Raw genomic sequence first — 27,315 nt, forward strand, 5'->3', positions numbered from 1 at the left:
TTATGCCACTGAACTCCAGTCTGGGCGACAGAGCAAGACTCAGGCTCAAAAAAAAAAAAAAAAAAAATTGCATTGCTGCAACATGAGAAAGCTGCTCCTCTAGTCAGAGTATGGCTAAGGGAAGTACATCATAACTTTTAATCACTGATATGTGATTAAAATTTTAAAGTTTTGATAACATTTTAATTAATGATTTAAGATGTTTGGCTAATTTCCATCTGAATTTAGATTCAAGCACTTTGCAAGCCTGTTTTAATCTCTATGCTTAAAAAATCTACATATTAATAAAATCAGCCTTACTACATACAAGCTGTCAACAAACTCTGTTCTAAACACAGTGGTGGTATGAAGTCAAGTACCTTTCTAGCTAATGGTAGTCAGCTTACACAGTTGTTCAATGGGGCAACACAATCATATCTCCAACTGTTACAGAGATTGAAATGATTATCATCTGAACTACTGCACTTGTGGCAAAGTTTTCTTTCTCAAGAAGGTTTTTGGTAAAATACAGATCTATCAACAGGAGATACCATTACATTTTTAGCACTTACCATATCATTTGCAGAGGGATAGACTCAGAATATGATAGTTGCCATGAAAAATAGTGAACAGTAAAAACTGAACTAAATGGAATATAGAACACAAGTATTGGAATGGGAGGCAAACGTTAAGAGGAAGAGATATGGGAAAATATATCAACTCATTATTCAAGCTTATTTAAGCTTCATTTACATCACAAAAAGTTTCCATTCACAACCTTTTCAAATAAAACTGAAAGGTTTCCATGATATTTTAAAAATATAATCTGTATTTTATCTTAACAAGAACTTGGAACAATATTCTATCCACCATTCCTGATCCAAACAAGTGCCCAATCTTCATCTATCTTGCCTCATATTTTCAGTATAAAGAGCCCATTCACTTTTTAGGGAAAAAAGACACAAATAACACAATGGCACAATTGTTAAGTTTCTCATTATATACAACCCTATAGCTAATAATGCACATGTCATTTCCATTTCTAGGTTGACTAATTTTGATGGGCAGAAGTGCTCTAAAGTATGCTTTTATAAACCTCATATCACGTGGTACTCCATGGCTGAAACATGGCTTAATGCATGTTTTAGGATGGTGAAGGAAGGAGAGAAGGGAAAAAGAAAAGACGAAGAAAAGAAGAAAGAAAAAGGAAGGTGAAGGAAAGAAAGAGAGATGAAGAAAGAAAATGAAAATATGACCATGTTATAAAGAAAATTGAAAACATATAATTATTTTTTCTTAATTTTAGCCTGTGTAGAAACTCTTAAGGCTGATGATGAGATAGATATTTTTTGCCATAAATTACATGAATCTATTCATTTTTACATTCTTATTATATAGCATTAGAATATGTTGCATTATATGTAGACTCCTTAGAAGATACACGTAAATAAAATTATCGGGGAACCTGCCCCGATATTCATGTAGGTTCTTTTCTGTTTTTCCTAAGCATCTGCCAGCTTGAGAAGTAAAGGGACAGAGTACAAAAGAGAAAAATTTTAAACCTGGGCGTCCAGGGGAGACATCACATGTCGGTACGTTCCGTGATGCCCCACAAGCCACAAAAACCAGCAAGTTTTTATTAGGGAGTTTCAAAAGGGGAGGGAGTGTGCGAATAGGTGTGGGTCACAGACATCAAGTACTTTACAAGGTAATAGAATATCACAAGGCAAGTGGAGGCAGGGCAAGATCACAGGACCGCAGGACCGAGGTGAAATTAAAATTGCTAATGAAGTTTCGGGCACCATTGTCATTGATAACATCTTATCAGGAGACAGGGTTTTGAGATCAACTGGTCTGACCAAAATTTATTAGGCAGGAATTTCCTCTTCCTAATAAGCCTGGGAGCGCTATGGAAGACTGGGGTCTATTTCATCCCTGCAGCCTCAACCCTAAGAGGCAGGCGCACCTGGGGGCGCTGTTTATAAGCCTATACCTCCAGGTGGGTATTCTCTTTCCCAGGAATGTTTCATGCTGAGAAAAAGAATTCAGTGATATTTCTCCCATTTGCTTTTGAAAGAAGAGAAATATGGCTCTGTTCTGCCCAGCTCACCGGTGGTCAGAGTTTAAGGTTATCTCTCTTATTCCCCGAACAATTGCTGTTATCCTGTTCTTTTTTCGAGGTGCCCACATTTCATATTGCTCAAACACACATGCTGTACAATTTGTGCAGTTAATGCAATTATTACAGGGTCCTGAGGCTGTAATTACATCCTCCTCAGCTGACAGGATTAAGAGATTAAAGTAAAGACAGGCATAGGAAATCACAAGGGTATTCATTGGGGAAGTGATAAGTGTCCATGAAATCTTTACAATTTATGTTTAGAGACTGCAGTAAAGACAGGCATAAGAAATTATAAAAGTATTAATTTGGGGAACTAATAAATGTCCATGAAATCTTCACAATCTACGTTCTTCTGCCATGGCTTCAGCAGGTCCCTCCGTTTGGGGTCCCTGACTTCCCGCAACATAAAATAAAAAAAAAAAAAGATGCTTTCAACTTAGTGACTATTATTCCTGTCTATCTCTATGTGCATGTATTACACACACACACACACACACCCACATTAAGAACCCACTAAATATTGTTAAGTTCTTGGAAAATATGACCTTAAGTGAAATGACATACAATAGGTCCTTGAATAACATAGTCATTTAGATATAATTATAATACGCAAAAAATGGATTTTGTTATGCATCGTTTTGATTAAAGTCACAGTTTCCAAGAACCTACTGATGACATTAAGTTTATACACACACAAACATGCACACACACAAACACACACACACACCTACACACACAAAGGTAGTTATACACAATATACTGACTGCCTTATAAGAATGTTTTTTCTATCTTGTAATAATACATGAGTACCACATTTTTCAATGCATTTAATCATGCTGTATCTGAGAATGTGACTTATTAAGTCCCATAAATATATCTAATACATTTTAGAGTATAAATGTTCAATGTATTATTGTAGATATAATATGAAACTGTGCATGGGAGTGGAGTGAGGAATAATTGAAGAAAAGGCTCTTGCTGAACCAATTTACCTATGGGAGATCAGAATATGCCACCCCAATTTAGGATGGTTTGGCATAAGGTTTGTTGAGCTGAAGGCAATTAAGAAGCAGATGAAGAAAAGCTCTCTGCCTCTATTTACCTAAAAGGACGATATACATTTACAAAGACAAAAAATATCCCCCTTCCCCTCTAAACCGGGGAGGACAAATGTTATCCACTGAAGAGAACTTTAGACTGTTATGGGCCTGGAGATGGCACCAGAGGAATCTACATTAACAAGCTTTACTTAGCCTTTATCTGCCTTTTCTTTGCCTTGCCTCAAGTTGCTGTCTTTAGAAATTCAAAATCCTTTTCCTTTGTCATGTCGCTTCCCTAAAACTTTACTGTTCTTTGTTGAACAATGCGTTATATAAGCTGAAATTCAAACTCACCTCCTTGGCGGCTACTCATTCCCTTGCTGTCTTCCATGTATATATGAAATACACGTCAATAAACTTCTCTGGCTTTTCTCTTGTTAATCTCTCTTTTGGTCCATGGGTCCATTCCAACTAATACTTTATCAGAATTGAGGAAAAAAATATTATTCCTCTTCCAAATAGCTATTTAGTATTTTCTGGCTGACAGAGCAAGTGTCTTGACAGAGAACTCACATTTCATTCTCTTTCCAACACTCTTCTTTTGATACACTTTAATTATAATCCTTAAAAATCAGTCTCTGTGTTAGAAGTTGACATGATATATGAAGGAAAAGGGCCACTTTTTAATTCTGGAAGTTAATGCAATAACATAAAGTAGAAAAATAGCATATTTTGAAATATATTTCATGTCAAACACAGACATATCCTTCTAAAATGCAGCATCAGGAAATACTTAGGCATAATAACAAAAGTTCAAACTATGATTTCAAAACAGAGAATTTGACAATTCAAGTATGGATATGATAAGCCTTTATTCTGATTTTTTTCCAAATATTCCGACAGTGGAAAATGTTCAAACAAAATTTGAAGGAGGAGGACTGTGTACTATCTTATTTTCCCTCAATATTTTTCTTATATACTTTAAAGTAATTTTATTCTGCAATATTGTGTCGAACTATGAATTTCTCAACCATTGTTTCTGAATTGCAATAAAGTCAAACCGAGCAAGATGGCTTTAATATTGCCCTCATCTTGACGAAACTTTAAACACTTTTCTTCCTGACTGCATGTCCTGACCTTTATTTTCTTAGAGTGTTTACTTCAGAAAATTTTCCATTGTAAATTCTTCCTATGACTCTTTGAGATGTAAATAGTCTCCCAGCCACTTGTGAGTTTTATAACCCAGGGATGTCTTAAAAAACTTGGAGACATCCCTTTGAAATATTGTTATCCAGAAAGATATTTTCCCAGTCTCCCAGTTTGTATGGATAATAGGAGCCTAAATTCCATAAGCAACAATTAAACAATTAAATGTGGTCCAAACTCAGGGAACAACCTTCCCTTCACTTCCTCCAATGCTTTTCCACTAAAATTTTCTTGCATTGTGTTTCAAAAGAACTGAGTTCAATTTCTATCCACTATTGCAATAGCCTTGAATAAAGTCTTGCCTGTTTAACTCTATCTGGTATAATTTTTCTTCAAGAGAACCTTAATTAGTCAAGTTCTATTTTGGCAATGGGATTCATATTGGAACTTAATTTTATATTATAAAAATGGATAAATAATCACAAACATAAAATATGAATATATGTTTCCAACAACATTGTGTGCATCAAACCAGGCACTAAATGGCAAAGGTATAAATAATCATAATAACAACTTTTGTGGTGATAGAGTTTTTTCTAGATGCACTAGATATGCTGATATTCTTAAAATAAAAATTCTTACATATTAGCCAAAAGATACTTCTGCCAGACAAATGTTTTATTCATTATTACAAGGATTCTAGACCTTTTAAAATTAAGATATTCTGTTTCAAAGTCAATGTACAAATTCCCCTAAGTTCTTAAAAAATAGGGGCAGGTTTCATGGTGACCTGTTCAAAGATCTATTGCTGAGATAGATTTTAGTAAATCAATTTGGTTCACTATCCCAGTTGGTCACAAATATGAGTTTTTGTTATTACTTCAATTATCTTATTCATTGCTTACTCAAAATACCTTTTAAGTCTTATCCCATGCAGAGATCAGATGGTAAGGTTTTTAAAGTAACTATATGACTATCAGACTTATTTCCATGTAACTTGCTTTATTTTTGCCTGTCTTTAAGATTTTATTACATAAAAAGTAATAAAAATTAATTTTAATGTATTCCTAAAATTTCAAAATCTTGCTTGTTTAAAAAAAAATTAGTCTTAATTAAAAAAACACTATGGAAGAAAATAAGCCTTTAAGTGATCTATATTATCCTAATGATGTTGTTATGTTACTTAAATCAAAATTTGTGAAAAAAATAGGTTCACACTTCTGAATCTCAAATAAACTTTATAGATCAAAAATTACCACCAAAGGTGCTCAGAAACAATGACTAAAATTTCCATCTCTAGCAATTTTTTATATAACAAAATTGTCCTAACAATACTAGCTAATAAATTAGAGTTTGGTTACAAAATGAACCATGATAAAATCTATCACAGCAGGAAAATTTTAGAAAAGGTCAAGACCACTTATGTGATCTTACCTTCAATTTTAGACCAAGGAAAGTTTGTAAGTGAAATTTAACCCTTCAAAAATGCCCCCCAACATAGTATCTTATTCTTGTGCAACCTGGAAAAACAAAAAAAACTGATATTAGAACCTAGGTTATTTTATTTGCTGCTGGATTATTTGCTTATTTGTTGTTTTAAATCAGAAAAAAAACCCCAAATATTCTGGTAGCCTAGAAATAATCAATAGCCTTGCAGACAACCAAGTATCCGGGTTGCCTTATGAACTAAGCATAGGATAGAATTAAACTAGACACTGCTAAAATGAATGGACAATTTTTAGTGGTATGTATACAAACCTTAAAGTTCAAATAATGTAAATGGCCGACATCAAACATATTTTCTAAACTATAGAATTTTACACCAAACAGTATGTTCTGCCACAGTAAACTGTCTCTGGCTTTCTTAAAAGTGATTTATTTTATACTGCAAATTATTCTGTCATGTCCACTTGGCATATATGTGTTCCTTTCTGATTTTCTCAACAACTCTCTCTTAGAAGGAAAGCATTTTCTTTTTAGAAACCATTTTGAATACATAATCACATACATGTAACAGAACATTTAAAAAGAAACTGTTTCAGCCAAAACTATGCTACCTACTCTCAGTGAAGAGAGTTGCAGACAACTTTTGTAGGACATGGAAAAGAAGCCACTGAAGTTCAGTGTGTAACATTTATATGATTAAATATAATATAAATATAAATAATATAATGATTAAAGATGGGAGGCTCAGGTAGCTTGGACACTGAGGATTTGGGAGGAAAGCAATATTACAGTGTGATAATTGCAAGTTATCAACAAAGAGTCATCAGACTTCTTGCATTTCTCCATAAGCTTGATGACAAGAACATCAGGTGGGTTTCTCTGAAAAGAACTAAATTTACAGAAGTTAGAGAATTTAGAGAAATTAGTTGAAGGGTGTCTGACTTTCACTTGACAATTTTAAAGGGTGAAAGTCTAAATGAAGAACTTTTGCAGATTAATGGTCTGCGGTTAGGAAATAACTGTATTCCAACTAGAGATGAGTCTCAAGTGAGTATTTCCCACCAGCAAATGTGGGCCATGCAAGAGAGTAGACAAGAAGGAGATGATCTCAAGCCCAGCCCAAGAGAATCACCATGAGGAATGAGGAGACCTCAGCAGTAAGACGCTGGGCTGTGCAGCCACATCCGCGGGAACAGCAAAAGTTAGTGACCAGAAGACAAATTCTCCAGCCATCCCAGGAATTGCCAGAAACAGCTATCCAAATTTGGAGGTCTCCAAAGAATCTGCCTACGTGGTTCACAATCTCAGGAGTTGCCAAAATCAGACCTAGAGAGTACAGCAATGCACCCTTTCTTTTCTTTTTACCTCTAATGCTTTTTCCAGGGTCAAACCTGGAGGAGATGAAAATCAGTATTTAGTAAGTTGAAGAAACAGAGATGAATAAGGCAGAGAGAGAGCAAGGTTGTTGACACCCAGGTTCTAAGGCAGCTGGGATGCCTACAAAAGGATATCCAAGCGGAAAAAAATTGAAGTAGATTTCTAGCCAAACTTAGAAGTCCTCTGTGTCTAATGTATTTCAGAGTAGGAGATAAAGTATTTGTTGGATTAGCACATTAGCAAAATTATCTAGAGAAAGGAATACATGTGTAATGTCCAATAAAAGCCAGTGATTCTCCAATTGAACATAAAATGGACTAAGTTGATAAGAAATGTGGGGCTCTTTCAACAAATAGTTTAAAATCAAAATCATGAAGGTGGATAAAATATTTCTTTACCCCCAGAAAATAAACGGATAAAGCTACTTCTACTATCTTTGTTATTTTTCACTCTACTAGCCCTAATTATTTCATTACTAACTTATCATCAATTGAAAGTTATAAAATGCATGTTTCCATCATGATACTATGTCATATATATTTTAAAAGATGGTTATAAAAGTCATCTGTCATTATTAAATTAAATTTTGAGTCAATATATATTTGTATTGGGCTATGAATATGCATAAGAAATTAATATTCTGAATAATATGTACTCTTTCAGTGCCCTGGAAAAGACAATAGGAGCCTGATACAATTTGTCATTCTTGCACAGTGACAGTTAATCGAAAATTATTAATTCATTATCAAAGTATCATTTCCATGACAAAGACGAGAGGAAAACATGCAGACTGTGTCCAGATTTCTTCCAGATATCTACCAGCAAAATATCACCAAAATTAAACAATGAAAGATAGACGAAAAGAGAAAAAAGCCAGAGGGAGAGGAGAGAGAAAGAGAGAGAATGATTATGTTTTACATAAAAAACAGTAAATTGAATTCCTTACTTGATTTTTATAGGTATTGTTCATCTAGTTTGTAGTAAAGGGAACATAGCTATAGACAGGAAACTGTCATTGTTGAGAATTTGGAGCTTAAAAGTATTCAGTAATTTTAAATGCAGGACATGTATTTTCGAAACCATTCATAATTAAGAAATTAAAAAGATTTTAGTAACATTTGTGAAAAACAGAAAGAAAATTATTTAAAAGTCTTTGCTCTTCAGAGATAGTGCCTGGCTCTTGTAGATTCCTTTCACCTCTACACTATGCTAAAACCTGGCTTTGTCTAAAAACAACTTTAGCTATAGATGGTCACTTTCTGTAAAGGCTTTTCTTTGTTATTGTCATAGCATTACAGAATATTGATGACTTCAATATCACCTACACAGAAAAACTGTATATGACTTTTGGAAAAAAAATGAGAGATTTAGGGCAAGCAAAGTTATGCTGTTGTAGATTCAAAAAAAAAATTGACATTTTAGGTTAAGTATATTTTCAATGTTTCAATTATAACTGTAAATCTATAAATGCTGGTAGAGGTAACCTCATTAGAAATAACTCCTTATTCTAAGAGCAAAGAGAAACCTGAAATGCTAAAATGGATACTCATTCTTAATAGGATCAAGAAACACCAAATACCCGTCAAATATCCGAAGATTATATTCAATGACTCTGAACAAGGAAAAAAGCAAAAAATTAAGTGAAACATGAATGAAAGAAATTACAGAAATCTAAACAAAGGTATAATCTATATTAATGGATTGTAAAACTCAGTAGCTTAAGGATGCTAAAATCTCCTCATGTAATGTCAATAAAAATTTCATCAATTTTGAATAAATTGAAGAATTAAGTCTAAAACATATACAATTCAAATTACAAAGTATATGCCCATAATTTATGACTTTACTGCTTAATTCTACCAGCATATAAAGAAGAACACATCTTAAACAAACTATTACAAAAAATAATAGGAAACACATACTATTTTGGTTTTTGATGCTAGCATAACCCTGATAACAAACCTGACAAAAATACATCAAAGAATAAAAAGTACACATGAATATCCTCATTAACACAGATACAAAAATACTTAATGAATTTATTTAGAAAATAAATCAAATCCAGCAATCTATAAAATAATGCATTATGACCAAGTTGGTTTTACCAAGAATGCATGGTTGGTTTAATGTATAAAATACATAAAATCTTATTAACAGAGTGAGGGAAAAAAACATAACTCAAACAACACAGAAAATTCATGTATCAAAAGTAAACGTGTTCAAGATAAAAAATATTAAGCAAATTAGGAATAGAAAGTAACTTCCTCAATCTGATAAGCAAAATATTTACATTAAAGAAAACAGAACTAAATTAAAGCTGACGGGAAGAAGAAGGCAAGATTATACAATCTTATAATTTCTATTCATCATGGTAGTTGGAATTCCTAGCCACTGAAATAAAGCAAGGATCAATGACATATATTAACAACAAAGAAGAACTATGCTCCTATTTAGAAACAGCATGATCGTTTATGTATAAAATATTAAATACAGATAGGCCACCTTTTATTGCTTTCTTTATTAGTTTATTGAACTCCATAAATACGGCATTTTTTTAAAAGTTTGAAGATTTGTGGCAGTCCTTCAAATAAATAGCAAATTTATTAGCCATTTTTTCCATGTGCTCACATCATGTCTGTGTGTCACAGTTTGGTAATTCATGCAATATTTCAAATTTTTTCATTGTTATATCTGTTATGATTATCTGTAATCAGTGGTTTTTACTATTAATTACTATTATAATTATTTTGGGATGCCGCAAACCATTCCCACATTACATTGAACTTAATTCATGAAATGTTTTGTGTGTTCTGATTGCTCCACCTACTGGCCATTCTCCCATCTTTCTCCATCTCTTCAGGCCTCTGTATTCCTTAAGACACAACAATATTAAAATTAGACCAATTAATAACCCTACAATGGCTTCTAAGGGTTCAAGTGAAAGAGTTGCACATCTCTCACCTTAAATCAAAAACTAGAAATTATTGAGCTTAATGAGGAAGGCATGTTGTAACCAAGATAGGCTGAACGCTAGACATCGTGCATCCAACAGTTAGCCAAGCTATGAATTCAAAGAAAAACTTCTTAAGGGAAACTAAAAGTGCTATTCTAGTGAATGCACAAATGATAAGAAAGCCAAAAAACCTTATTGGTGATAAGTAGAAAGTTTGAGTGATCTGAATAGAAGATCAAACAAGACACAATATTTTCTTAAGCCAAAACAAAATCCAGAGCAAGGACCTAGCTCTCTACATAGCTATGAAGGCTGAGAGAGGTGAGGAAGCCACAGAAGAAAAATTGGAATCTTGTAGATGTTGGTTCATAAGGCTTAAGGAAATAAGCCATCTCCATAACACAAAAGTACAAGGTAAAGCAGCAACCACATGATTACATCAATAGATGCAGGAAAGGCTTTCGATAAAATTCAACACACATTCATGTCAAAAACTCTCAAAAAAGTTAGGTATTGAAGGAATAGACCTTGAACTAATAAGAGCCATATATGAAAAACTCACAGCCAACATTATACTGAATTGGCAAAAGCTGGAGTATTTCCCTTGAAAACCGGCACAGGACAAAGATACCCCCTATCACCACTCCTATTCAACATAGTATTGGAAGTTCTGGCCAGAGCACTCAGGCAAGGGAAAGAAAAAGGGGCATCCAAATAGGAAGAGAGGAAGTCAAACTACCCCTGCTAGCACAAGACATGAACTTATATTCAGAAACCCTCAAAATCTAGGCCCATAAGATCCTTAAATTGATAAACAACTTCAGCAAGTCTCAGGATACAAAATCAACGTACAAAAATCACTAGCACTCCTGGACACCAATAACATTCAAGGATCCAAATCAGGAAATCAATCCCATTCATAACTGCCACACACTCACACACACACACACAAACACACACACAAACACACACACACCTAGAAATATAATTAAACAGGAAGGTGAAAGATCTCTACCAAAGAACTACAAAACACTACTTAAAGAAATCAGAGATGATACAAACAAATGGAAAACATTCCATGCTAGTGAATAGAAAGTATTATTTTTGCTAAAATACCTATAATATCCAAAGTAATTCATAGATTCAATGTTATTTCTATTAAACTACCAATGACATTCTTCACAGAACTAGAAAAGGCTATTTTAATATTCATATTATAAATATTCATATTTATTAATGATAAAATATTCTATTTTAATATTAATATTCAGGCCCCAAAAAAGGACCTGAATAGCCAAGGCATTCCTAAGCAAAAAATACAGAGCTGGAAGCATCTGGCTACCCAACTTCAAATTATACTACAGGGCTACAGTAACCAAAACAGCATGGTACTGGTACAAAAACATGCACATAGACCAATGGAATAGAACAGAGAACCCAGAAACAAGGTCACATGCCTCCAACTATCTGATCTTTGACAAAGCTGACAAAAACAATCAATGGGGAAAGGACTCCCTATTTAGTAAATGTGTAGGGAGAACTGACAAGCCATATGCAGAAGATTAAAACTAGACCCCTTCCTTATACCATATACAAAAATGAACTCAAGATGCATTAAAGACTTAAATGTAAAACCAAAAACTATAAAAACCCATTTCTCTGGACACAGGAACAGGCAAAGATGGCATGACCAAGATGCCAAAAGCAACTGCAACAAAAGTAGAATTTGACAAACGGGATCTAATTAAGCTAAACAGGTTCTGTACAACAAAAGAAACCATCAACAGAGTGAACAGACAAACCTACAGAATGGGAGAAAATTCTTACAAACTATGCATTTGACAAAGGTCTAATATTCAGCAACTAAAAGGAATTTAAGCAAATTTTTAAGGAAAAAAACCATTAAAAAGTGGGCAAAGGACATGAATAGACACTTTTCAAAACAAAACATACATATGAGCAACAAGCGTATGGAAAAAAATCTCAACATCCCTAATCATTAGAGAAATCCAAGTCAAAACCACAATAAGATACCATCTCGCACCAGTCAAAATGGCTATTATTACAATTAAAAAAGTCAAAAAATAGCAGATGCCAGTGAGGTTGCAGAAAAAAAGCAATGCTTATACACTGCTGGTGGGAGTGGAAATTAGTCCAACCACTGTGGAAGAGAGTGTGGTGATTCCTCACGGACCTGAGAACAGAAATACCATCCGACCCTGCAATCCCATTACTGAGTTTATACCTGAGGGAATAAAAATTGCTCTATCACAAAGATACATGCATGTAAATGTTCATTGTGTCACTATTCACAGTAGCAAAGACATGGAATCAACTTAAATGCCCATCAATGGTTGAATGGATAAAGAAAATGTGGTACATAAACCAAACTTGGAATGCGGTACATTCCATGTGTACCACATGGAATACTATGCAGCCATATAAAGGATGAGATCATGTCTTTTGCACGAACATGGATAGAGCTGGAGGTAGTTATCCTTGGCAAACAAATGCAGGAACAGAAAACCAAATACTGTATGTTCTCACTTATAAGTGGGATATTAATGATGATAACATGTGGACACATAGAGGGGAACAAAACACACTGAGGCCTATTGAAGGGTGGAGGGTGGGAGGAGGGTGAGGATCAGGAAGAATAACTAGTAGGTACTAGGCTTAATGTCTGAGTGATGAAATAATCTGTACAACCAACCCCCATGACACAAGTTTACCTACATAACAAACATGGACATGTACTCCTGAACATAAAATAAAAGTTAAATTAAAAAAAAAAACTAAAAATTACATGCAATATTTGTAGTGGTACAAATATATTTATGTAACTGTAAAAAAGAGAGATGTATAAGAATATATACAAAATGTAATAATGGTTACTTCCAAACAATACATGAAGGCTAGAAGTTGAGGTGTTTTTTTTTTAATCTGTAAGGTTTTAATTCTTTTAAAAAAGAAAAAGTATTAGTGTATTGTTTCACAATTTTTAAAAAATGTACAAGAATGTTCTTATTTCTACCATATTGGTCTGCTTCTTTGTATTTTTTCTGGCCCAACCCAAATCAGTCTTTTCAAAGTTTATCTACATTGGTTAGAGATGGAGCCTTATAGAACATTGAATTAAAGGCAGACATCCAAACAGTTATTGTATGGAACAGATCTGCGTACTAAATATGAATGTGTGTATTGTGTGTGGGCTTATAGTATTAACAATACACATTATGTCTTTTTGTTTTTTATGTGTATTGTCTGTGTACCTGTGAATTTCAGTATTCGTGAGCTATGCATTAATGTATACCACAGTTAAATAAATGAATTAGTTGCAGAAAAAGGAAGATCAAAGTTGGAAGGCTTTATCTATCTGATTTTAAGATGTACTAAAAAGCCACAGAAATAAATAAATAAATGAATAAATAAATAAATAAATGGACTAGAATAGGTAGGAATTAGTCAACTTTATCCTTAAGGGCCAGATATTAAATATTTCAGGCCTTGTGGGACACATATGAGGTGTCTGTCACTTTTTGCCCCTCTTCCTCCTCCTTTCTCCTCTTCTGCCTCTTTTTCTACCTCTTATTTTGACAATACTTTAAAGATGCCAAAATTGTTATTAGATTGTGAGCCACATAAAAACAGCCCAGGAGTCATAATTTGGCAATTTTTGGAACAAAGGCAAAAAACAGAACCGCAGTAGCCTTTCCACTAACACTTCACAGGAATTTGATGGATCAGGAAAAACCTTTGTAACACATGATGCTAGGACAACTGGGTATCCATATGAAAAACAAAAGTTAACCTTAACCCCTACCTCCTAACAAACACGAAATTAATCAAAGAAGGAGCAAACGTAAGAGTAAAAGGCCAAACTACAAAGTATTTAGAAGAAAACAGGGGATTATCTTCATAACCTGCTATGAAACAACACAGTAAGAAACAACCATAAAAGACAACTTTAATATATTAGAGTTTCTTAAAAATTTAAAACTTTTATTCTTCAAAAGATACCTCTACATTAATTATAAACTGGAAGAAAAATATTTGCAGAACTTGTGTCTAACAAACACTTGTATGCCAAATACACAAAACTCTATGACAACTCAATAACATAAGGACAAATTTTAAAGTGGACAAAACACTTGAAAGAAACTTCCTGAAGGAATGTGCATGAATAAGTAATAATTACATGAAGTGCTCAATATCCACTGATAAAAATTTCTTAAATAGGCAAAATGAATCTATAGTGATAGAAAACAAATCAGTGGTTGCTTGGGGAAAAGGATGGAGAAAATTGATTGGAAAAGAGTACCTGGGAACTCTTTAGAGTATTTAAATGTTTTATACCTTGTCAGAGTGGCAGTTACATGTGTGTATATACTTTTCAAAGCTGTATAGTTAACGTTGGTATATTTCATTGATTTCAATGTAGGTAAATCTAACCTCAAATATCCATAAATATAATAATCATATGGAAGGTCACTTCCAAATTGGTGGAGGAATAGTTGAAAAAATAGTCTAATATTATCATTTTTTAATCTGGATAATGGCTCCAGGATAGTTTGTTATGGCATTCAATTTATTCTGTATATGACTGAAATTTTAAAACTCTTAAGCTAAAAAGCATTTGTCACATGTTTTTGCTGAAATATTGGTTCCTTGTAATTTCTCACTTAATTCAAGCAGACATCTAAAGGTGATTTATTTTCCACCCAGAAAACTAAGAGTACAAGGATTCACTTGTGTCCACAAGGGAATCAAGTGATCCAGGAGAACGTGCTTCACTATTTTTTGCTTTTCCTGACCCTTAAACAGCTTCTAATTCCTCTTGCTAAAAAAGGAAAAGGGATGGCTGGGCGTGGTGGCTCCCACCTATAATCCCAGCACTTTGGGAGGATAAGGCGGGTGGATCACTTGAGGTCAGGAGTTCCAGACCAGCCTGGCCAATATGGCAATACCTCGTCTCTACTAAAAATATACAAATTAGTCGGGGTGGTGGCTCACTCTCGTAATCCCAGCTACTAGGGTGGCTGAGGCATGAGAATCACTTGAACCCGGGAGGTGGAGGTTGCAGTGAGTGGAGATCATGTCCCTGAACTCCAGCCTGGGTGACAGAATGAGACTCTGTCAAAAAAAAAAAAAAAAAAGGAAAAGGAAGCAAAGAAAATAGAAAAGTTACTTCCTCTAAGGTAACCCTAGGAGTTTTCTTCACTATATTTAGGAACATAATTAGCTGTTTTTTTAAAAAAAAAAAATTGATGCATGCTTGCTTTCTCTCTATATAGAACTATATTTTGCAGAAGTGTTAATGATGTTTTGAAGGTGACAATGTTATCCCACAACATATAATTTCCTCTCTTAAAAGTACTATCTTTGAAATGGGCTCACATAATATGTAAATATATGGGGATAAATGTATAGTCTCATTACAAACTATAAGAATTATTCCATATATGTAAAATATGAACTACTATAATTGGGTGTAAAACCAAGGTTGTAAATTTAATTTTAATAATTTGCCTATAATATTTATCAGTCCAAAGTGATTTGAAAAGAAAATCTATTAACATGTTTTACAATATTCTTACATTATTTCTATCATTATGTATGAGACAAATCATGATGTGACAGCATGTGACAAGTGTAGCAGATGCTGTGGATCAGCTTACACAAAACTTATTCCAACTACCTCCTTTGCACATGTTTCTGAACCGCATAACTGAGAAGCTAAAATTATACTTAAAGGATTCAATTGCAGCTATGATTCTATGTATGATTGGGGTTACTCTGACAAGATTATTTTTTATATAAGACATTGTTCAGAATGTACTATGAAGGGGACAGGTGTTACACTTTTTGCAGTTACAAATCGGGGTGGAAGTGCTGTGGTTCTGGTGTTAGCTGTGGTTCTGTAGTTGGCAATGTTGGCATCAGCTTTCTGGAACCAGGCATCTGGATCATGGGAAAGGCAGCATTTCCTAGGTGATATGGCTTGGCTATGTCCCCACTAAAATCTCATCTCAAATTGTAGCTCCCATAATTCCCTCATGTTGTGAGAGGGACCCAGTGGGAGATAATTGAATCATGGGGGCAGTTTCTCCCACAGTATTCTCATGGTAGTGAATAAGTCTCATGAGCTCTGATGGTTTTATAAGGGGAAACCCCTTTCACCTGGCTCTCATTGCCTTGTCTGCCACCATGTGAGACATGTATTTTGCGTTTTGCCATGATTGTAAGGCCTCCCCAGCCAGGTGGACCTGTGAGCCCATTAAACTTCTTTCTTTTGTAAATCGTCCAGTCTCAGGTATGTCTTTGTCAGCAGTGTGAAAATGGCCAAATATACTATAGCAGATCAGTTATGTTGTGGTTTTGCATCTCATTCCTGGCAGGTCAAAACAGAATCTATTTCTTCCACCCTTTCAATCATATGTGAACTATTTATGCCACTTAATAAGTCCCTTCAGCTTGAAGAAGCTAGGGTATATTGTTTTTTGTAACTAATATCCCTAACTGATATTGCAGACTTCACATAAAAACATCCTGTTGAAGATGAGGAACTAGAAGATTCTTTCCCCAGGGACATATGATATTAAAAAAAAGCTACAGGTAGCTGGTCTTTACTGTGTACATTATCAACCTCTTACCCAAAATACTATAGTGGTATTCACTGCTATAACTATTTACAGTATATTCAGCTGTTTTCTTACAGTCTTAGCAAAACCATCTTCTCATCTGTTATGACTTGCATGTACCCCCCAAATTTTGTGTATTGGAAACTAAATGCCCAAACTCATATGTTGATGATATTTGGAGGTGGGGCCTTTGGAGGAGGTAATCAAGATTAGATAAGGTCTTTAGAGTTAGTCCCCCATGTTGAGACTGGTGGCTTTAGAAGAAAAGAAAGATGTGAGCTGACTTGGGTGCTCTTGCCCTCTCACTATGTGCTGCCCTCTCACCATGTATGATACAGCAATAAAACCCTCACCAGATGCCGATGCCATACTCTTGGACTTCCAAGCCTCCAGAACCATAAGAAATATTTTTTTTCTTTATTAATTACCCAGTCCACAGTATTCTGTTACAGCAACAGAAAAGCAATTAAGACACCATCTCACACCTGGTTTTGTCTATACCTTGTGAGAACCTCACAACTGTAATTCTTCTGTATAACACATCAATTAAAATAGAATCTAGACAAAATGTCAGTATTAAAACAATCAGGAAAACAGGGCTGGGTTGATAATAAGGCCACAATATTTGCTGCCTCTGAGAATTTGGGAAGGGATGGATTTGAAGAAGAAGTTTTCTGCTTGCATATCTAGTTCTTATTCATATGCACACAAGCCTAAGGGGAAAAATTCAGGCTCATCGTCCTTTTGATTGCTTAAAAGCATGTAGCAGCTTCCAATTTACCTTTCCTAAAGAACAAGTCAGGCTGCAGAAAGATCATGGTTTTGAATTCAGCCATGGCTTTTAATTTATTTCTTTTAGACTTTGCTTGACTGGAAAGCTCTGGAAGCTGGGGTTCAAAGGCAATTGTGTTTAAAGAAAATACTTAGTTGGGAATATTCTAACAGCAACTGATGGGTTTAATAATTCTTGTAGATACTATATAAAATTTTGAATAGCTAGTATTTAGGTAAATAATTGCAAAGAAACACTCTTCTTTTGGAATAAATTACATGGAGTCCTGTTGCTGTCTACTTGCAAATAATCTCATTCACGTTTTGATGAAACTCACAATGTACACATTTTCTGAGGAAAATGGAAACAGGAGGCCTCCTGAAGATACAATAAGATGATTATATTTATTTTCAAACCTTTAAGGAAAGCTCCTGCAAGTTAGGCTAAAATGTAAATTTTAGTGAGGATTCTATTAGAAGTTCCAAGGCAACAGTTACTTTCAAAAATGATAGACCCACTGTGAGCAAAAGAGAGAAGATAAGGACTCTGACCGAGCTGGCATTGTTGAATAAGGGGCCCTGATTTGCTGCTCAATAGCTGACTCTGCAGGTTTCAATTATAGGAATAGCTGGAATAATACTGCTCTACAATATTACTGGTAGAATTTGCAAAGAATTGATATATAGAGTTTAAGTATGTGTCTCTGTATGTGTGTTTGTGTGTGTGCATGTGCAGCACACAGACATGCATTATGAAAAGGGAGTTATTCAAGTAAAAAGCACCTGCCGCTACCATAACAGGTATGATCTAGGCTGACCCATGATGCTTGGGTGGGTGGTGGGACATTAAGAATAGAACATTTAACTACAGGCATGCTTATATTCCAGTTATATATAGGCCCACTGCACCTCTAAATTGTTGCACTAGAGTCTTTATTTTGGCTGGATTTAAAGGCCACTTCCCAAAATTTGTGCAGAATCTTTGTAGTTACATAATTAAAAATTGAAAGAATTTAAAAAATGACAACTGTAGTCTCACTGACTTTTTAAAATAAAATTAAAAGACCAGTATAACTGTAAGCCCTTGTTCAGAAAAATGTTAATTCCTTACGATCTAGACTCAGAATGTGGGGTTTGAATCACAATTCTATCAGTCACTAGCAATGTGATCCTGAGAAGATTACTTAGTCTCTCTGTCCCACAGTGCCTGGTTTATAAACTGGGAATAATATTTATTTTAAAGGATTAAATGATAAGCTACAGATATGTCTTTTTGCAGTGTGACTAGAAAATAGTAAACACGTAATAAGTGCTGGTTGCTGCTACCATAATGATCAGTGTATTTCTATATTGTTTATTTCTGGATATCAGTACTTTTGATATAAGACTAGACAGTGAATTCCTCAATTACAGGGGCTATGTCTCCAGTAAACAAGAAAATGCCTGTCACACAGCACTCACATTAAAAGCTTAGTTGAATTGATACAACTTGTCAGAGAGACTAATACTGAGGGCACGATGGCCTTATCATCAGCATATCCTCATTACTTTGACTAGATTATTTAATTTATTCTCTTTTACTCCTTCTTACTTCTACTTCAGTTAAAGGCAACTGGGGAGTATAGAAATTTGAATATTTAGCTTTTTGGGGCTATGTCCGTAGTTTATTCACTACTTAGGGTGACCTGTGCACATGCTAAATGATTAAAGAAGGCAAATTCTAGGATGGTAAGTAGAGAAATGTGCATTATAGATTGAAGGCATGTGATGGGCAAAAGAGCCTGAGGAACTGACAATAGATGGAGGAACTGACAATAGATGGAGGTCAGTAAACAAACTGAAAAACAAATGTAAGGGAAAACATCTGATAAAATTAAAAAATAAATATCTTATTTAAAAATATACATCTTCTTAAATATATATTTATATTTTAATATATATTTAAAATTATATATATGTTAAGTAAAACAGAAGTTACTAAAGGAACTTCCACCTTTGTATGTTTGCTTGAATATTACATCTTTAAAATAGCTTTTGCAAGAGATGTTTCACAAAAGAAGTTGATCTTACAGGTATTGTAGTTTTCTCTAAAATGCCTAAAGATTAATACTCCGCAAAGTATTTCAGTCAATTTCAAGTTGGGGAATTTGGATGACCAAGACATCTCTGTTCTCTCAATTCCTCAGAGGACATACACCGAAGTTAGTTGTGATAGTAGTTATTATGCCTATTAAGGGTGAGATCCTTCCAGGTTCTAACTTCTATTGTCCTCAAACACAGCACTCTGAAATTCTAGCATTAATGACTGTTACTGGCTACTTACAACAAGCAACTTCACTTGGATCTACCATCCAGTTTCCAAGCTACCAACATTACCTTGTTGCATTGTTTTTGTTGCTGTTGTTTCTTTTTTTGCGACAGAGTCTCGCTCTGTAGCCAGGGTGGAGGGCAGTGGCGTGACCCCGGCTCACTGCAATCTCCGCTTCCCTGGTTCAAGGGATTCTCCTGCCTCAGCCTCCTGAGTAGCTGGGATTAAAGGCATGAGCCACCACGCCTGGCCATTACATTGTTTATGTACAAGCTAGATGATAAGGACCAGGCAACACTTGTGCTATCATATTGCATGTGTGCAAGGCTACACAGCCTGTTGATGCACACAGGAGAGACTAAGAAAGGCAGACCTGGCCATGGCCTACCTACTTGCTTACTGAACTTTGTATTCCACGAAAGAAGGGAGCATGAACATATGTTTAGCAGGAAACTTAAAGTCTAGCAAATTTCCTGGCCCATAGTATTGTATTCTAGTTGTTTGTTAAATAAATGAATGGTCTGTATACAATATAGCATCTCTCTCTCTCTCAACGAATAGCAAAATTTTTTAATAGACAAGTAACGAAGGGCCTTCCAATTTAATGATAATAATACATGGTTGGCTATCTATTACAGCTCTTTGTGATTGTTGGTTTGTGAATCTGAAGGCACTATTTCTCAAAGTGAAGTCCAGGAACCACTTGATCAAAGGTCATCTGAGTTGCTGTTTAAAATTTCAGATTCCTGGGGTCACTTCCTGCATCTCCACCTCTGACAACAATATTCAGGAAACTATATAATCAACAGTCTACCAAGGTGATTTTATGTACACTACTATTTCAAAACCTTAGTGCTAGCTCATTCTCTAGGTGAACAAATGAAACAAGTATAAATATGATAAAAAGTAAGAGATCTATTGATCATATTTCTACATGAAGAGATTTTCTATTTCAGAAATTGAAGTAATCAGCTTTTTAAAAAAGCCTTTTTGGGAATCAATGTAAGTTTCATAATTCAGCCAGCTGACCAATAAATATTAAAAAATGTTTAACTTTCTTATATTTCATCATTTAAAAAAATGAGAAATTATTCCATAGTCTATGTCTGTCTGTATACATTATTCAGCTCCCACTTATAAGTGAGAACATGCGGTATTAGACTTTCTGTTTCTGAGTTATTTCACATACGATAATGGCCTACAATTGCAATAATAGACATTGGAGACTTAGAAGAATGGGAGGGTGGGAGGAGGGTACTGGATGAGAGACTGCTTAATGGGTACAATGTACACTATTTGGGTGATGATTACACTGGACATTTGGTAATCATCACCCAAATCATTACCCAAATAGTGTACGTTGTACCCATAAAGCAATCTCTCAGCCTCTCACTACTACACAATATATACATATGACAAAACAACACTTGTACCCCTTAAATTTACACAAATAAAACACTACAAAAGAAAATTGAAGAATGATCCTATTTATAATAGTGACATGAACTAATTTGAAACCATGTACTCATAGGAGATATAAGAAGAAACAATAACATGTCCTAGAAGGCCAAAAACTGAAGACTTGAATCAAATGAAAGACATATCATTATCTTGAATGAGAAGATTGAATATTACAAACGTGTTCATTTACTCGAATCTACAAACTTAACATTAATCTACAAAATTAACATAATTCCAATCAAACATTTTTGGAGGGTTTTGGACCTGGCATGTTTACATGACGGAATAAATGTGAATAATCACCAGGTAACTCTATAAAAAGAAAGTTATTAAGACAGAGTTCTCCTATAATGAATGACAAACATAATATTGGGCTACAGAACAGAAGTAGGTATACAAATATGGAAGAATATATTACATTTATTTTGAAATTAAATTTTTGATAAAGTTAGAATTTTCAGTCAGTGAATACTTGATACTTTATTTAAAACACAGTTGTCAACTTTTTACTATACGTCAGGCTATATGAAAATATTAACTGATTTAAGTCTCTTTACAATCTTACAAAGACTTACAAGTTAAAAATTTTAAATTTATAATTTTAGATACATGCCATTATCAGCATTATATAACACATGAGAAAACGAAGCCCAGAGAGTTTATGTCACTTGCTGAAAGCAACAGCAATAGTAAGTAGTAGAGCCAGGTTGTCTGAATGTTCTTTAATACCATGATATAAGATTTAGGCTGGCACTTGAAGAAAAAGAATTAAAATCATACTAGAGTTCTTATTTTAAAAGCAGATTAAAAATAGAATTTTATTTCATTTAAATGAACAACATAAAACCAGGAACGTATTAGAAAAAAAATTGGTAAGTATTTGCATCAATTGATGTGGTAAAACGTGAAATGTGATATCAAGTTACATAAAGGAAAAATATTCAACCAGAAATACCATTTCACATAGAAATGTTTAAAATGTTTCATATTTCACATAGAAATATTTAAAATCTATACCTCTAAAGTATTTATGAAAAAATTCAAAATATGATAAGAAAGTACATTGTGGTATATGTTTAAATTGTGGTAATATGTTTGTTTTTTTCCTATTGTCACAGCTTAATTATTGATAAGGTCTTTATCCACAAAAGGGGTTCAAACTGTGCAATACATTTTTGTCACACTAATTACAAAGGTTAGTATTACTATGAAACAAAAGTTTCAAGATCAATTAAAAAATATGGATGTTCCAAGAAAAATTGAAGAAATTTTTAAAAATAGTCAATAGTTTAAAAAAATCAGACAGAGAAGGAGGTAATAAAAAGAGAGAAGTACTAAAGTAAGTAACAAGAGAAGAAAAAAAGGTAGAAAGAAGAAAATAAATATTCCATGTTGTCAAGAAGGCAGGAGATTCTCAAATTTTAGCAATGGGATTATTTGAAAGTAATTTAGAAAATAGTTAAGTATTTATGCAAAATTATTTTAAATAATATTCACAGATGTGATATATGTGAAAAGAAAATAGTTGAACATAATCAAAAAAATTCAAAGATTATAAAATGTATTATTACAATCTATATACCACATATTATATTGGCCACTAGGGATGATATAAAGGTAAATTTAGTGTGACAGACAAACAATGAAAATATTAGAAATGGTAGAAAGGTGACTTTATTGACATAAACAAAAATGACAAAATGAGAAATAAAATGGGAAATGTTGTATGATCTCGATTGGGTAAAAGACAATTTATCTACATGTGATTTTCCCATACAAATCATTTGATCCAAATGGTATTTCCAATGACAACTGAAAATATAAAGTGAATTTAAGGAGGTGAATAGGTATAATATTTTTTAAAAAATCGACTTTTTTATTTTTTAAAGACAGGTTCTCACTTGGATGCCCAGGCTGGAGTGCAGTAGTGTGATCACAGCTCACTACAGCATTGACCTCCCTGGCGCAGGTGATTCTCCCACCTCAGCCTCCAGAGTAGCTGGGACTACAGGCACATGCCACCATGCCAAGCTAAATATATATATACACATAAAATTTTTAAAATTTTTACTTTAAGTTCTGGGATACATGTGCAAAACGTGCAGGTTTGTTACAGAAGTATACGTGTGCCATGGTGGTTTGCTGCACCTATTGACCCGTCCTTTAAGTTGCCTCTCCTAGCTCCCCACCCCCCAAAAGGCCCTGATGTGTGTTGTTCCCATCCCTGTGTCCACGTGTTCTCATTGTTCAACCCCCACTTATGAGTGAGAACATGCAGTGTTTGGTTTTCTGTTCCTGTGTTAGTTTGTTGGGCATGATATCTTCGAGCTTCATCCATGTCCCTGCAAAGGACATGATCTCATTCTTTTTTATGGCTGTGTAGTATTCCTTGGTGTATATGTACCACATTTTCATTAGCCAGTCTATCACTGATAGACATTTGGGTTTGTTCCATGACTTTGCTATTGTAAATAGTGCTGCAATAAACATACATGTGCATTTGTCTTTATAGTAGAATGATTTATATTCCTTTGGGTATATACCTAGTAATGATATTGTTGGGTCAAATGGTATTTCTGGTTCTAGATCCTTGATGAATCACCATACTGTCTTCCACAATGGCTGAACTAATTTACATTCCTAGCAGCAGTGTAAAAGTGTGCCTATTTCTCTACAGTCTCACAGGCACCTATTGTTTCTGACTTTTTAATAGTCGCTATTCTGACTGGCATGAGATGGTATCTCACTGTGGTCTTGATTTGCACTTCTCTAATGATCCCTGATGTTGAGCATTTTTTCATGTTTGTTGGCCATGTAGATGTCATCTTTTGAGAAGTGTCTGTTCATATCCTTTGCCCACTTTTTGATGGGGTTGTTTTTTTCTTGTAAATTTGTTTAAGCTCCTTGTGACTTCTGCATGTTAAGCCTTTGGCAGATGGGAGACTGCAAAAATTTTCTCCCATTAATATGTTTTTGTAGAGATGGGGTTTCACCATGTTTCCCAGGCTGGTCTGGAATTCCTGGGCTCAAGTGATCCACGCACCTTAGTCTCCCAAGGTGCTGGGATTACAGATGTGAGCTACCTCATCCAGCAACCAAAATTTTTTAGTGTTATTCGCCAATGCTGCTATTAAAGAATTACATTTCAGTTTACACTTACGTCGATCTACTTTAGGAATTTGTATACTGATTTGCATTTATCCAAATTGGAATTTTTTTTAAATACTGGGACTTTTCTCTCACAGAAGAGGTCTGAGATCTTAGTCTAGCATAAATGACGAAATGGGGAGTGATAGAATAGAAAACCAAGAGAAAAGAAGTTATTTAAGAGATTAAAAGAAATAATTATCTGACCCTTTCACATAGTCTTGGGTGCTGAATTGCAAATTCTGCTGTTTCTGCTGTGACAGAATAATAATAATTTTCTTTTCAATGATATAGAGATATTTAACAATGTTTACTATTTCATAGCACTAGCAAAACAGGAAAAAATGCTTGATGTAATAAAATTATTTCACCCGATTATTAATCAAATATAGAATGGGAGAATGTATATTAACATTATTTGTCTTTTGAAATAATATTATCACAAATATTAACAAACTTTGGATAGCTTTTTGATATCTTAATTCCTGATAATTGCTACTAATTCATTTCTAAGTAACAAGTACAATATAAATTCCAGATTTAAATTAAAAATATTTGATCATTCACAATGCTATGACTGTATTACATTTCAATATTTTACCTCGTGTTATTTTCTCCATAAATAGAGTGGTTATGGTTCACAGGTACACATGCTATTTGTTTATTTATTTCATTTTGTAGAGAGGGTCTTATTATTTTGCCCAGGCTAAAATGCAGTAGCTATTCAAAGGTGCAATAAAGTGCGTTACAGCTTCAAACTACTGGCCCGAAAAGATCTGGTTTAGCATTCTGAGTAGCTGGAATTGCAGGTGCCCAGCCACTGTGCCCAGCCACAATTGCCACTGTGCCCAGCCACAGTCAGCTTTTTCAAGAACTGTTTAAGATAACAGGTTAGGGAAAATCAGGATAATATTTTGAGGGGAAAGAAGGTAAAATCAATTAAGACAGGGTGCACAGAGTACTTGAATGGTACAGCTGATGTTTCATCCTTTGTACTAAATGGTGTGTATATGGGAATTGGTTATATTATTTTGACTGTTTGTAGTCATATTATGTACATATGTGTATACATAATTTAAAAATAAAAGACAAAAGTAATATAAGCTAAAATTATAGATATTAATATTAATTTTATTTAAATATAACAAAGATTTGCCAGTATTCAAATGTCTGCAATTATCCTTAAAATGCACAGAACCTATGTTTAGGTATAGTATCACTGTTCATCCAGCCTTCATTCACTCTAATCTACTCTTATCTAAAATTTGTAGTGTAAGTAAAATTACATTCGGTATGACAGAAGACAAATTACAGTATTAGAACATTATGGAAAATTGGCATAACATTGTACAATCACCCATAACTTTATTATTTATCATTTTGTAACTTTTTTATTATATTAGTCAAAAAATCTAACTGTACTTAATAGCTAATACATATATTATTTGATTTTTTAAAGACTATTATTAAAATAATAATAATTTGGGGGTGAGAAGGCCTATTGAAAAATGACCAACATATAAATCATAAATAAGTTTGATGCAACAAATATTTGTAAGTCTTATAGGTAAAAATATAAAAATTTATTCTAAACAAAGCTAAAAGACAATAATATGCATTGGGAAATATTTGCAACATTCACTTCAAGGGTTGATGTCCGTAGAGAATTTTTACAAATTAATAAACATTTAAAAAGTTGAGGAGTGGCAATAGCTATGAGAGATAATTTACAAACACATAAAAACCAATATTAAAACTGTTTAATCTGTAAGTACATCAATAAAAATTTTATTATAGTAGTTATTTTATCTATTAAATTAGAAAAGGTCAATACAACTGATAATCTCCCAAGGGAATATATGGGAGAAGCGCTTTCTCATACACTTATAATATATTGTTAGAATGCCATTAAATAAACATTTGGCAAAAATCTATATCCTCTGTCAAAACAATTTAAGTTCTAGATCTCTAGAATCCACATATACATATACATATATACATACACACACACACACACATTCACACCTATATATCAACAACTCAAATCCAACTCCAATTCTTTCATAAGCAGTATTTTGTCCAACAAACAAATTTATCTAAAATTCTTCTTGGCTTTTCTCCATTATAGAGCCAGCAATTTTGTGTAGCTCTACCTCTAATTCCTTCATTTGCATTTATTTCTGCTTTCAAGCCCTTATATGAGGCAAATGGGATTAATTTATTTCATTATCTTAACTAGATTCATTGCTTTAATTTGTCAAACTCTGATTGATTTGCTCAACTCAATCTTGTGTGTTCAAGAACTTAATGTGGATTTCTGTTCCACCTCATGAAAGTCTTTTCCAAAAACTTGCTAAATTCTTGACTCAAGACATTCCAGTTAGTAATGCATTTCTCTGCTCAAATACAATAGAAGTGTGCTCTAATAAATACTCTTCAACAATGTGCAGTTATTTCTCCCCAACTATCAATTCCCCTTAAAGCAGAATTTTACTAAAAATGGCTTTATCCTTCTGGGAATAATCAGTAAAATGGCAATTGGAGGGTGAATTTAAAATATACTAAAAGCAGATGGCAGAACATGAGTGCAGATTTTTACTACAAAGCTTAGGAAGAACAAAAGGAACCTGAATAGAGAAAATGCAGAAAAGCTCTCCCTGGGCTATTAGGATGTAGAGAGCAGAAGTATGTTTAGGAGCTTCAAAGAGTCTGTCTCTTTGCAACTGTTTATCTTAGGACTTTAAGGAAATAAAAGGTGCAAGTGAACCACTCTGGATTATAAAATAGAATTTCACACAGAAAAATCAACTCAGTTAATATGCATGTTGCTTACATGGAAATGTTGAGAAATTTTTAGCAAATAGAAAGTGGTAGATGGTAGGTATATATAAAATAATTGCAGAAAAAATGTGAAATGAAGATGT

General features: G+C 33.9%; 1 protein-coding gene across 20 annotated transcripts in view, besides 2 other annotated features; it reads right to left on the bottom strand.

The window, feature by feature from the left end:
- Positions 1-27,315, bottom strand: part of PCDH15 (protocadherin related 15) — a 1,825,172-nt gene that overhangs the window by 590,081 nt on the left and 1,207,776 nt on the right. The gene's annotated exons all lie outside the window — the stretch shown is intronic.
- Positions 1,554-2,222: an enhancer, noted in NCBI's record as "OCT4-NANOG hESC enhancer chr10:56154165-56154833 (GRCh37/hg19 assembly coordinates)". NCBI's record gives its function as "activates a minimal SCP1, AML or CMV promoter by ChIP-STARR-seq in primed H9 embryonic stem cells {active_cell/tissue: H9 hESC(primed)}" and the evidence as "EXISTENCE:reporter gene assay evidence [ECO:0000049][PMID:30033119]".
- Positions 17,756-18,304: an enhancer, noted in NCBI's record as "NANOG hESC enhancer chr10:56170367-56170915 (GRCh37/hg19 assembly coordinates)". NCBI's record gives its function as "activates a minimal SCP1, AML or CMV promoter by ChIP-STARR-seq in naive H9 embryonic stem cells {active_cell/tissue: H9 hESC(naive)}" and the evidence as "EXISTENCE:reporter gene assay evidence [ECO:0000049][PMID:30033119]".

This window comes from Homo sapiens, chromosome 10, assembly GCF_000001405.40.
Source record: "Homo sapiens chromosome 10, GRCh38.p14 Primary Assembly".
NCBI lineage: Eukaryota > Metazoa > Chordata > Mammalia > Primates > Hominidae > Homo > Homo sapiens.